We start from the raw sequence: 13,538 nt of genomic DNA, 5'->3' as shown, positions 1-13,538 counted from the left end.
CTCCTCCAGGCCTCTCTCAACTCTGACACTTGGGTCACCCACACTTGGGCTCGCGCAGACGGGGTGGCCACTCCACCTCCCCCACGCTCCGCATCTGACACAGCGCTACCTGCAACCTGGGAAGTCCGTGCTCCCCGGAGCGGGCACTGAGAAGGGGCTTATCGACCCCCCACCCGACCTGCCGCGGGTCCCCGCGCCCCACCTCTCGGCCGCTCTGCGGGGCGCCGGTTCCTCTTCCACCTGCGGCTCGGAAGCCTGAGCCCAGCCCGGGACAGCACGGGCCCCCTGCCTCCAGCCTAGGCGTCCGCGCGGGTGTGGGTCACTGGTCAGGCCCTGGAAGCCGACTACGCCGCTTCGGTCTGCGTGTCCCGGCTCTTTCTATGGGAGAAACTTAGCATCGCTCTCCCAGAGTGAATAGAAGCCGCAGGGCTGCTCGGAGGCGGCGGCAGCGGCGGCGAAACCCGCCGCCGAGGCTGCACCGGGGCTTGCGGCGGCGCCGCCGCAGTTGCGTTTACCCCGGCAAAAAGTCCTGCGCCCAACTCGGGCGGGGATCCGCCAGAGCCAGTCCAGACCCAGCACCAGCCGCACGGCTCCCGCTCGCAGTCGGTGTCAAAGCCAAAGTCCCGGCCGCGCCGCGCCGCGCCGCTCGCGCCTCCGCAGGCACCGCGGCCACGCCTCCTCCGCGCGGCAACTCCTCCCCGGGACTCCCGAGGGCACGTGGGGGAGGGGCCCTGGCGCGGGGCGAGGCCTGGCACCAGTGGGTGGAGAGAGGAACCCGAGAGCGCAAGGGCGGGCCTGGAGTGGGAGAGGCGGGGCCATGGAAGAGGGGGCGGCATCAAGGCTCAAGAGGGTGGAGAACGAACCAGAGAGCGCGAGGGGAGGCCCTGGCGTGCGAGAGGAGGAGCCATGGGTGTGGGGGCGTGGCCTGGCACAAATGGGTGGAGAGCAGAACCCTGGAGCGCGTGGGGCGGGCCTGGAGTGCGAGAGGCGGGGTCATAGAGTGTGGGAGCGGGGCCAGGGCGCGATGGGGTAGGAAAAGCGGGGGCGGGGCCATGAGCGCGGGGGTAGGCCCCGGGAGCGCAGAGGCGGGACTTAGGGGGCTTAAGGGGCGGAGCCGGCGCCGTGCCGGCGAGGGCGGGTCACAGGGAGGCTGTCCTAAGTCAGCTGCCCCCGGACCATGGTTGCCGCCCGGGGCCTAGGACTGGTTGTGCCTGGTAGAGGCTGTTTAGGATTGCCCGAGGCGAGATCTGCTCAGCTGCTTTTCGTCTGTCTTTGAGGTGTGGGGATGAAGGCCGGGGCAGTCCCTGAGAGTGCATCGCTGTAGGTCCAGGGTCTCACGGAATTTTGCAGAACGTTCCAGAGGAGACTGAATGGGATCGTCTTAATTTCTGTCCCCACTTTCGGCCTTTTCTTTTCTTCCACCAGTGTATTACCTTTGCTCCGCTCAGAGAGATGTCCTCTAATAACGCCAGCGACGCATTGTGCTCCTAGCAGAGGGCACGCACCACCCTCCTGTGTGTTCGCATAGGTCAAATACAGGTTTGCTCCTTTGCACATTTAGCGCTGTGAGTAAACAAGGATAAGTTTTTGTAATATTAAGTCTAATCATTACGAAGGAGGGAAATGGGGGCTGCTTCCCAAAACCCAGAAGAGTTTTTGCATCACACTGCTAAATGACAATTTGGTTAAAGATTAAAGAGCCCTCTGCATTATAGTGGATACCTAGAGCTAGAGTATTCGATTAAGCAAATCATGCGGTGATATCGTTGAATACTTTGACCCTGGACGTTTAGTGTTCTCTGAAGTTTCATCCCCAACCAATGTGACCAGTGCATCTGGTTTCAATTCCAAGGACTGGGTCAGCAAAAATAGTACCTCTCACAGGCGGAAGGTACTTTGGTTGTAAAATTAGCGGCAGCCCAAGTTTGGAAAATGCTACTGCCTTTCTGAGGCACATTCCCCTGCTATGTATATTGGTCAGAAAACCAAGTCAAACTAGCTTAGACCAAAAAAAAAAAAAAAAAGGTCGGGGGGAAATTTTTGGTTCCTTGTTGAAAAGTTAAGGTAAGGAATCTTACCTCAAGTCTGGTTGCATCCGACCCAAGTGATGATGGGGTCATTAGGACATGGCAGGACTGCCTCCATCTCTGGCTCCACGGTTCTCTTTATTGGCTTTATTTTTAGGCAAGCTATTTGCACTTGATCGCAAAAATGCCTTGCTACCTACCATCATCTCCCACCCAAACACTGGGCTACATTATGCCACGCACTGAAATCCTGGTGCGGTAAGGAAAAAACAGTTTAAGACAAGCAGGAAAACAGAGAAAACTCTTCGTTGAGCAGAATGCCTTGATGCGCAACGTGGCTGTGGAAGCACAGCCGTGGAGCGTGGCTACTTGGGCTGGAAGCAGAGAAAACATATTTTATCATACAAACCAGGACACTCTGGAGGTGAAGAGAGGACTCTATTAATAATATCCTAGAACAACAGAAATAATCTGGTTTTATTCCCCATAAACCTAGCAAATGCTCCCCTTGGTATAAATGAAACCAAGCGTTGGCCAAACCAAAGTGCATTTAAAAACACACATACATACACCCCACAAAAACATGCAATGAGATGGTTAACTTTAAAACGACTGATTGTATCCAATGTTGGTGAGGACGCAGAGCAATTGAAATGGTCATACATTGCTGGTGGAGGTGTAAGATGGCACCACTACTTTGGAAATCAGTTTGGAAGTTTCCTAAGAAGTTAAACGTATACTTACCATATGACTCAACCAATCTACTTATAGGTATTTACCAAAGAAAAAGGAAAACATGAAACCCAGAGACTTGAATGTGGATGTTCATAGGAGCTTTGTTTGTTATAGCCAAACACACACACACACACACACCCACACACACACACACACACACACACACACACAAAGCAAAACAACAAGAAACTCAAATCCATCAGTGGATGAATGAATAAATTGTAGTATATCCATACAATGGAATGCTACTGAGCAATAAAGACAAACTATTACATGACATTGAAAAGTCTCAAAATCGTTATACTGAGTGAAAGAAGCAAGGCAAAAAAGAACATACTGTATGATTCTATTTATATAAAACACCAGAAAATACAAACTGACATACATATAGAGAAAGCAGATCAGTGGTTACCTGGGGATGATGGGGAGGGAGGAATGGATTTTAAAGGGCACAAAGAAACTTTGGGGGCTGATGGCAATGTAGTTTGAGAGGTGATAGTTTCATGGGCATATGAATGTCAAAACTGACAGAATCGTATACTTTAAATATGTGCATTTGGGTGTACTTCAGTGACAACAGCTTTGGAAAAATCTTCAAAAAATGAAAAAAAATTTTCTCTGAATCTAAAAAAACATAGGCCTTGTTTTTGGGGAGAGTGGGGTACGTGAGCCTGGGTGGAGATGAAAAGGTTTAGGAGGGGGATGAAGGGGTCCAAGAAGTTGAACAGACAGCTAATAGAAGAGAACATTCCCCAGCTTGGCTTGGGGGCTCAGGAAAGTGGGCGACAGAGGCCTTTAAACTTACGGCTAACAGTCTATTTTATCTGCTGTGCTATTTCATGATGCAATCCTCCCACCCCTACCCCATGCACAGACACTAAATTTTGTAAGATATGTATGTAATGGCCATCAATAAGTTATGTTTAGGAGAGATAAAGTAAGGGAGCTGAATCTTTCTGGGTAAATTAAAGACAGAGAGAAAAAGGGCAGCTAAAATATGAAAGATGGGTGGGAGAAAGAGCCAGGATTCAGTGGAAGCAGAAAATCAGAATACGAGGAGACCCAGGGAAATACCTGACTTTCAAGAATCCTCATTGAGATTGGGAAGTTGGCTCGGGTCCCATTTTACAAGGAATGAGGGTTTTATTTGCATTTTATTATTTAGGGCTCTAGCTGACAACCCAGTTACATGACGATGTCAAAGGGCAGAAATTATATCATTCCAGCCAAATACCACATCCTGTGGCCACTGCCCCTTACGACATAGTTCTCACCTGGGGCCTGGTCAGAGAGGACCAAGGTCATTGGCCTTTTGCTTCTTAGTTAGCAGTTTTAAAGTAAATGGCGATTTAGGGAAAGGGAGAGGTGGCAGATGACAAGAAGGGAGAGCATTTGTGTTTTCAGTTTTACCACCCATAGTGCTAGGCACTGGAAGTACAGTGAGGAGCACACTCCTGACTTCTATTCCCGGAGCTGATGGTGCAGCAGGACTGCAGACATGAAATCAGTAAGACTAGTGCCTGTTGAAATAAGGGAGAGGAAGAGAATATGGATGTGAATTACAAGTAATTTCTGCTAGGGGACTTCCCGGGAAGTGAGGGTCAAGATGAGATTTGAAAGCTGAATAGGGAAATGTTGCCCCAACACACAAGACCTCAGTCCTGGCAAAGCAAGCCCCAATGCCCCAATCAATGAGCTTCAGTCAGGCTATTGACTTGGCACCAACTTGTGTGCAGTGGCCAAGCTGGATGCTGTCCTGAATTATATCAGTGTGACAAGGCAACGTCTCCTTTAGTGTGACCTTAACAGTGGATTTGTCCCTCTTTATCAGAGTAGGCTCCCTGTGTTCCCAAACTCAGGAAACTCCAGGCATTGGCAGCCCACTTGCGCATTCTACATCAGATCCTGCCTCACTGGGAGTTGTGGCAGAGGATGGCCAGACAGACACCATGGACAGACACCATGGAGAGGGGCAATGAACAAAGCTTCATCTTCTACACACAGGTATGTAATTCTGCTTTCTCTTCTGTGCCTGTATATAGACACTCAGCCGGTAATCCCACCACCAGGAGCATTTTCGTATATTACTCTAAAGGATTCCAGTGCTCTGCTGCATAACAGTGTGTGATAGACTGTACATGGGTGCCCAGTGGGTCCAGCCTCCCCTCATTCTCCTCCCTGTGTGACCTCTTTCTACATTCACTCCAGGCTTAGCCATGTGATTTGTGAGAGTAAGGCAAGCAGAGACAAGTACTAGTCCATTCCTTGTGGAATGTTCCCTCCTGGAACGCAGCTGCCATGCTATAGGGAAGTATTAACTCTCCTGTTGTGACTGAGAGGCCACAGGAAGAAGAACTGAGACACCCCAGCCCTCAAGCAGCACCAGGGCCTCTGAGTGTGAGAGAATCCTCTAGGACCTTGCAACCCAGCCTGTCCCCCAGCTGGATGTGCCCACAGGAGTGAGCCCAGCAGAGACCACAAGGAGCTGAGCAACCACCCAGCTGAGCCCAGCCACCCACAGGACATGAGAGAGAATACACTGGGGTTGTTTTAAGATTATACACAGTGGGGAGATTGTCTCAGAGCAGTATTTATCATACAGATGTGGCCCTCAGGCCTTGTTTCTCAGCAAGAAGAGCCATGCCACAGCTCCGGGGAAGACCCCTTTATAGCCATTGACAGTTGTCCCACTCTCGGGATGCTCTTGCAGGCCTTGGTTTCCATTGAGGATAGTGTTTTTGTTATCGTTTTTCAGGTGGATCATAAGAGTGTTTTCAAGGGTTCAGGACCCTCCCCTTGGACAGTTGTAGACAATTGTCTTGCGACAGCTGTAGTCATAGAGCAGGGTTTTTTTTTAACTATTGCATTTAAATATAATGAATTGGCATATATATTTTTTTATCTGTTGATTGTGTTTGTTTATTTCCATAGAACCATCTCCTCTTCCCAGTAAATACAGAAGACAAGACAGAGAGGAGCACAGGAAGGAAGAAGAGCCCCTGGGGAAGCAGTCCAGTCTCTGCAGTTTCCCTCACTGGGGCAGAGGGGCCACCCTCCTTTCTTGTTCCCCAGGAGGCTCCTGGCCGACTTTTCAGGTCAGCACTTATCTTGGGGACAATGCTTTTGAAAGCCAGGGAGGTATGGGATTTCCTCCTGATTTGATCCCGCTGAGCAGCTTGCACACCTGCGTCCTCCACTGCATGAGGTCCTCTCAGCCAGGTGGGCCATGCACAGCAGTGCATGTTTTCTGCTCCCTCCCACCTGCAGCTCTTTGCCTCCAGCATGGTCCATCTCCTGCCCCATCTCCTTGGGCTCCCTGGAGCTCAGGACCTCCCTGTTGCATGGAAAGTGCCGGGAGCCAGCTTGACCTTCCCACACGCTTTCCTGTAGGTATAGTGTTCAGTCTTGCCCTGCTGCCCACCACCTGAGGTTTTGCTGTCTGCACTCTGCTTTCAGCCTCATGCTGGTTCTTTCTGGCTGACCTGAAACACAAGTGCCTGCAGAGGAAGGTGAAGAACTTCCCCGTGGTCCCCTGCTAGCCCTGGCTGTTTCCATAGGGAAAGGCTGGGTCATACCTCAGGGCAAATTCTACTGGTCCTGCAGCTGTCCAAGCTGCCCAGTGTGCAGTTAGTTTCCTCTGTAGGAGATGCCCTGGAGGAAGTTGGTTCCATTTGGGGCTCCACTACTGCTGCTGGGGTATGGGTGGAGGGGAAGGCCTCAGGGCCTCGCTAGGGGGTTGTGCAGCGGGGGTGCAGGCTAGGGAGGGGACTGGCAGGCAGGCTGGCTGTGTTGATGGCTTCCGCCCTGCCTCCCGATCCTCCTCAGGCCTCTGATTTCTTTGTTGCTCCTTTGACTATTTACAGCACAGAAATTTAAAATGGGAATAGCAGGCTCGCTATACTTCTGCTGCTTTGAGTTGGCTGAGATGCCATGCTGCACTTTGTGGATGGGGAAGGAGTGCAGCTGGTGGTGGGATCAGCTGAAGGTGGGGAGGGAGGATTTGGGACTGTGGTATAGTCTCCAGCTTGGATCTCTTGTAGGCTGGGAGCAGATGGGTGGCCAGTACTTCATTGTACTTCCGGTGCTGCAAGGATCCTGAATCCCTTTTCAGGTATGACCTATGGACACCATCAATTCAGTCTGCTCAGGGTCCTTATAGCCAGAGAGTGGCTGGACAGTTGTTTTCCTCCTCGTGCTCTACATTCATTTTTGGATTCTTCATGATTTACTCTAGGAGCCTCTCTTGCTTGTGTTGAGGATGAGGAATTTCCTTCTTTCATTTTTTAAACACAGGATTTCACCCAGACTGGAGTGCAGGAGGATGAAGAATTTCTTGTGAGAAAGTTTTCACACTCAATAGACATATAAGAGTGTTACCATGGGTAAATACAATGGAATGTGATTGCTGGATCATATGGTAAAAGCATGTTTTATAAGAGTTTTGTGAGAAACTGCCAACTGTCTTCCAAAGTGGCTACACCATTTTGCATTTCCACCAGCAATGAATGAGAATTCCTGTTACTCCATATTTGGTGTTGTCAGTGTTTGCAATTTTGGCCATTCTAATAAGTGTAAAGTGCCATGTTATTGTTGTTTTAATTTGCAATTCCCAGGTGACATGTGATGTGGAGCATCTTTTCATATGCTTAGTTGCCTTTTGTATATCTTTTTTCATTGAGGTGTCTGTTAAGGTCGTTTGCCCATTTTCAATACGTTGTGCATTTTCTTTTTGTTAAGTTTTAAGAGTTGTTTGTATGTTTGGAATAATAGTCCTTCATCAGATATCTCTTTTGTACATCCTTTCTCCCTGTGTCTTATCTCTCATTCTCTGGTCAGTGTCATTTGCCAACCAGCAGTTTTTAGTTTTAATAAAGTCCAGCTTCTCAATGCTTTCTTTTATAGATCATGCCTTTTGTGTCATATCTGAAAAGTCATTGCCAAATCCAACCTAGATTTTCTCCTGTGCTATCTTTTAAGAGTTGTATAGTTTTATGTTTTGGTCTATGGTCTATTTTGAGTTTTTTATGAAAGGTGTCAGTTTTGTGTGGAGATTCTTTTTTTCTTTTTTCTTTTGGATGTCCTGTTGTTCCAGCATGATTTGCTAAAAGACTGTCTTTTCTCCATTGTATCGTCCTTGATCTTTTGTCAAGGATCAGTTGACTATATTTATGTGGATCTATTTCTGGGCTCTCTATTCAGTTCTACTGACCTATTTGTCTATTCTTATGGCACTACCACACTCCCTTGATTACTGTAGCTTTATAGTAGGTCATGAAGTCAGACAGTACAGTCCTCTAACTTTTCTTTTTCTTCAATATTAAGTTGGCTACTCTGTCTTTTGCCTTTCCATATAAACATTAGAAGCAGTTCATTGATATCTACAAAATAACTTGCTGGATTTTTAATTGGGATTGTGTTGAATCTATAGATAAAGTTGAGAAGAACTGAACAATACTGAGTCTTTCTATTCATGAACATGGAATGTCTCTCCATTTATTTAGTTCTTTTTTTATTTCTTTTATCAGAGCTTTGTTTTTTCCTCATATAGATCTTGTATGTATATTGTTAGATTTATACCTAAGTATTTCATTTTGAGGAGTGCTAATGTAACTGGTATTGTGTTTTAAATTTCACATTCCACTTGTTCTTTGCTGGCATGTAGGAAAGGGATTCAGTTTTGTATATTAACCTCATGGCTTATAATTTTGCTTTAGTTGCTTAGAAGTTCAAGGACTTTTTTTTGGTCAATTGTTTTGGATTTTCTATATAGGAATTATGTCATCTGTGAACAAAGTTTTTATTTCTTCCTTCCAAATCTGTATACCCTTTATTTCCTTTTATTGTTTCTTGTTTTTTTTGTATTCACTAAGACATCCAGTACCATGTTTAAAAGGAAGGGTGAGAGAGGACATCTTTGCTTTGTTCCTAATCTTAGCAGGAAAGCTTCTAGTTTCTCAACATTAAATATAACATTATCTGTGGAGTTTCTGTAGATGTTCGATATCAAGTTGAAGAAATCCTCCTCTATTCCTAGTTTGCTGTTTTTTTCATGAATGGATGTCGGATTTTGTCCAATGCCTTTTTTGTATCTATTGGTATGATCATGTGATTTTTCTTTTTTCTTTTTTCTTTTTTTTAGCTTGTTGATATAATAGACTACATCCATTGATTTTTTTAAATGTTGAATCAGCCTTGCATGCCTAGGGTAAAGCCTGTTTGGTCATGTTATGTAATTCTTTCTATATATTGTTGGATTCAATTTGTTAATATTTAGTTGAGGATTTTTGCTTCTATATAATTGAGAGATATTCATTGATAGTTTCCTTTTTTGTAATGTTTTTGACTGGTTGTGTTTTAAGGTAGTTCTGGTCTCATTCAATAAGTAAACGAAGTATTAACTCTGCTTCCATATTCTGGAAGAAATTCTAGAGGATTGGTATAAATTTTTCCTTAGATGTTTGGTAGCGTTCACCAGTGAATCTGCCTGGACCTGGTGCTTTCTGTTTTGGAAAATTATTAATTGTTGATTCAATTTCTTAAATAGATACAGGCCTACTAAGATTGTGTATTGTATATATTTTTCAGGGTTTTCTTTTTTTCAAAATGAAGTTTTAAAACAGAATTAATCAATACATTTCCATGATAATGAAATAACTAAAAAGAGTTGTGAACAAAATGTCCCCATTTAGGTTCCATTTGCCTATTTTAAGGTGTTTCAGCATATTTGCTGAGGGGTTGTGCAAGCATTTCTGCTAACAGAAATGGAGGAACCTATTTCTTCTGGTCAGATACATGGATATTGAGGAAAAACAGTTTCCACTTATTCTTACATGCAAACCTAAATCTGTTTTGGTTTTATAAAATGGCTTAGCATAAGCTCCTGAAATAGAGCTTGATACCAGTTAGAAACAGGCACCTGCATTCACAACTTCCCAGGAGACCCAGGAACCTCCTTTAGAGCTCCTAGTCTACTGACTAATATAGGGTTTCATCTCATGACTGACAAATGAAGACCTTTGTCATTTCCCAAACACCTTAAATGCCTTTCCAATTAACACTTTATTTCTTATGGTGCATTTGGCCAGAGATCATTGTGGCAAAGCCCCAACAAAACGAGGTAGCTTCATTTACAGTAACAAAATGGAGAACATTTACCATCAGAGGCACTGTGTTGTCCCTCCACCTCCAAAACTTTTATTATTACAGAAAATAGTATTCATTAATCTTTAAAGATGATATGATTATCACCATCACACTTAGGAAATTAAGCTCCCATTCACTTTATTCATTTCCTCTAAAAAGTGACATTTCCAATTAGTTTCAGACTTTCACTTTTTCACATAACAATTTATTCTTTTTTGTTTACTGGATTTGAGGGTTTATGAAATATTCTTCTCAGTGAAGTCCATTACTTTGGTTTCTGGGTGCCTAAGCAGAAGCCTTCTCCAAGCACAAAATAATACAGAAGCAGGAGAGGAAGTGAGGCAACTATTCTTACCTTATGACAAGTCAGGGGAATGTCCTTGGACCTACACTTCTGGTGGTGGGGTGAGGAGGCTCCTTCAGCCCCACCACAGGCCAGAAGAATTGAGCACTGTTGTTGGAGCTTGGGAGTGGAGGGAAAGGCTTTCACATACCTAGGAACAGCAGGTAAACCTCAATTGCTCTGCTTCCCCTTCACACTCACCTGACAGCAGCTACAGTCTGGACTTTGCTGTTGACACCTGCCCTACTCAATCTCACAATGCCTTTTCTGGTTTCCGCATCTATTCCTTTTCAATGTTGCCATTGGCGTTCTTTTTTAGCCTTATTTCTTCTAAATATTGGAAGACTGAAGGCCTGGTAAGGCTGGTCCCTGACCCCAGCCCCACTTCCAGGAATGGCTCCCTTAAGAAATAGTCATGAAGACCTTGTATGGCATCCCGAGAGTGTGATCTAATGGTAGTGAGAAAAAGGATCTTAGGAGGCCCCAGACACAGCATTAAATACTGTTGAACCACTCTGTGATGAATTTCTCCTTATTTGTGTCTCTGTTACTCTAAAAGCATGAAGGGAAGCTCTCAGTTCAAGGCCACTGTGACCACAACACATTCACATATGTGTTAATCTGTCTAGAGAAAATGCTGACCTCAGGCTCAGAATTTTGGCAAGCACCATTATTTAGCTAGAATGTAATTATATTGTTTTCCTTTTGTTGGTTTTTTTTAAAGCTACCTTCTATTACTGGCAAAGGATAGTGTTGTTCCATATACAGTCACACATTCTCATGTACAGATGGTGCTCAGAGGGCAATACACCATGAAGGTGAACAAGAAAGACTGCAATGTGAAGACTGTGTCTTACAAGCAACGGTTCTTAACCTTAGCATCTCATAAGAACGCCCCAGGGCACTTGTCAAAATTCCAATGCCAAGGCCCTTCCCCAGACCAATTCCATCAAAAACTTGGGATGGGATCTAAGTGTGAGTGCTTATTAAAGCTCTAGATGACTCCAGTGCATAGCCACACTGGAGAACCAATGTTTTAAACTGATCTGAAGTCTGAGCATGAATGAGACAAAGCATGTTCTCCACACCACGGCAGCAGGATTAGCATCTGGAACATAGATATTCTAAGGACCAAGGTCAACTGCCGTCTTAAAATTTAAGTGCAAAGAATTACAGAACTGTAGAGCTGCAGAAAGTCTGAGAGCTCATTTTAAATGAGTCTGCATCCTCATTTTATTCACCAGAAAACTGAGCATAGAAAGGCCAAGTGATTCCGTACTGAGAATCACTCCCTAGGGGCCCAAGGAAGGGCTCCTTCCCCAAAATCATGCTGCTTCTTTGATGGGTGTAATTGCCTCAATTGTGAATTCCTTCTGAAGGAAGCTACAATCTTTTTGAGGAATATGCTAAAGACCTAAAAAGTTAGAGGATTGGCTCTTTAATCCACAAAGCAGGTATGAAAGAAGTTGTAGGGAGCCCAGGAGGCACTATGGACATTCCTCAAAATCTGTTCCATGGTTGGAAGGCACTGGATTAAACACATTGAAATGAGTTTCATCACTGCAGGACTTCTCAGGGCCTTTAATTTACTAATGTGCAAGGGAATCTTCAAGAAGAGGACAGACAGATAGCTTATTTGCCCATTTCTGTGAAACATTTCACAGGACTAGCCTTTCTTGGGGAAATATTGGGGGACACAATTTCTAAAAGGTCTGGCCCACTGTGTCTCCTACTCTGTTTTACTTTTCTTAATTGCATTGGTCACTTATATACTTGGTTATTGCCTGTGTCATTGTCACTAAAATATAAGTTCCTTGAGGAGAGAAACTTTGGCTTCTTTGCCATATCCCTAGCACCTCCAAAAGTGCCTAGCCTTTAAAAAATATTTGCAAAAAGGGCTAAATGGGTAGTCTCTTAAAACACAGGTAACCATGACTAGATGCCTAGTGGGACTCCTCCTGCTTCTTCTGATTGCAAGTCTCTCACCACAACTTTAGGCTGAATTTTGGAGTCTGCTTGCTGGGGAAACCTGGTCATACCTTGGGCTAATATCCAGGCTCTGGCACTAATTAACTCCACAACCTTGGGCAAGTCACTTGACTTTCCTGGGCTCCATTTCCTTATCTAGCAAAATGAGTGGACTGGATTAGACAACCTCCAAAGGTCCTTCTCAGGTATTGTATAACAAGCAGTTAAATTAAAATATCTGATATAATCGGGGATTTTTCTATTTCTCCTTGGATTTCTATCAGATTTTGTTTCATGTAGTTTAAAGCTCTGTTATCAGGTCCATATATATTTAAGATTGTTATATCCTCTTGATGAATAGACCCTTTTATCATTATTCAGTGCACTTCTTTGTCCTTGGTAATATTCTCTGCTCTGAAATCTATATTTTCTTATGCTAATATATCCACTCCAGCTGTTAAAAAAATGGTGTTAGCATGGTATATTCTTTTCTATCATTTTACTTTTAACCTATTTGTGTCTTTTTAGTTCAAGTGGGTTCCTTGTAGGCAGCACATACTTGGTTCTTGCTTTTTAAAGGAAATCCCACTGCTCAGTCTCTGCCTTTGAATTGAAATCATTTAAATTTAATGTGATTATTGATATTATTAGGTTTGAATTCATTCATTTTGGCTGTTATGAATAATGCTGCTATGGACATTCATGTGTAAGTTTTTGTGTAGATATATGTTTCATCCTTCCTGGATGACTAGTGATATTAAGCATCTTTTCATGTGCTTATTGACCATTGGTGTATCTTCTTGGATGAACTGATTATTTTTATGATTCCATTTCATCTTGCTGTTTGTTTTCTATTTGTCCCATTTTCTTCTTTTTCTATCCAAAAAGAAAACAGCCTTTTTTGAGATATAATTTATATACTGTATACTTTTCCCATTTAAAGTGTGTAATTCGGTGATTGTTGGAATATACATAAATTGTGGAATCATAATCAATTATAAAACATTTTAATCACCCTTAAAAGAAACTCCATACCCTTTAGCTACTACCCCCAAATGCTCCCTTTCCTACTGCTGCCTTAGCCCTAAAACATTAATCTATTTTTTGTCTCTATAAATTTGCCTATTCAGGACATTTCACATAAATCGAGTTATATAATATGAGTTTCTTTTACTTGGCATAATATTTTTCTATTTTTATCCATGTTATAGTATATATTAGTGCTTTATTCCTTTTTGTGAATTAATTCCACAATATGGATATACAGCATTTGTTTGTCCATTCATCAGTTGATGGACATTTGGGTCTTTCTAACATTTTGG

The 13,538-nt window shown here is 44.0% G+C and overlaps 1 protein-coding gene and 1 pseudogene across 1 annotated transcript in view, besides 1 other annotated feature; both read right to left on the bottom strand.

Annotated features, from left to right (window-relative positions):
* Positions 1-623, bottom strand: part of EEPD1 (endonuclease/exonuclease/phosphatase family domain containing 1) — a 148,285-nt gene extending 147,662 nt beyond the window's left edge. Inside the window, exon 1 of the mRNA NM_030636.3 lies at positions 203-623. The gene's annotated coding sequence lies outside the window, so the exon portion shown is untranslated. The remainder of the gene's footprint in view (positions 1-202) is intronic.
* Positions 492-1,211: a silencer, noted in NCBI's record as "silent region_18100". NCBI's record gives its function as "represses an Ori minimal core promoter by ATAC-STARR-seq in GM12878 lymphoblastoid cells {active_cell/tissue: GM12878}" and the evidence as "EXISTENCE:reporter gene assay evidence [ECO:0000049][PMID:35858748]".
* MARK2P7 (MARK2 pseudogene 7) lies at positions 5,852-7,043 on the bottom strand (annotated as a pseudogene).

This window comes from Homo sapiens, chromosome 7 (assembly GCF_000001405.40).
Source record: "Homo sapiens chromosome 7, GRCh38.p14 Primary Assembly".
Classification (NCBI taxonomy): domain Eukaryota; kingdom Metazoa; phylum Chordata; class Mammalia; order Primates; family Hominidae; genus Homo; species Homo sapiens.
The sequence above is the reverse complement of the archived record's forward strand: the minus strand, read 5'-3'. Positions and strand labels throughout refer to the sequence as shown.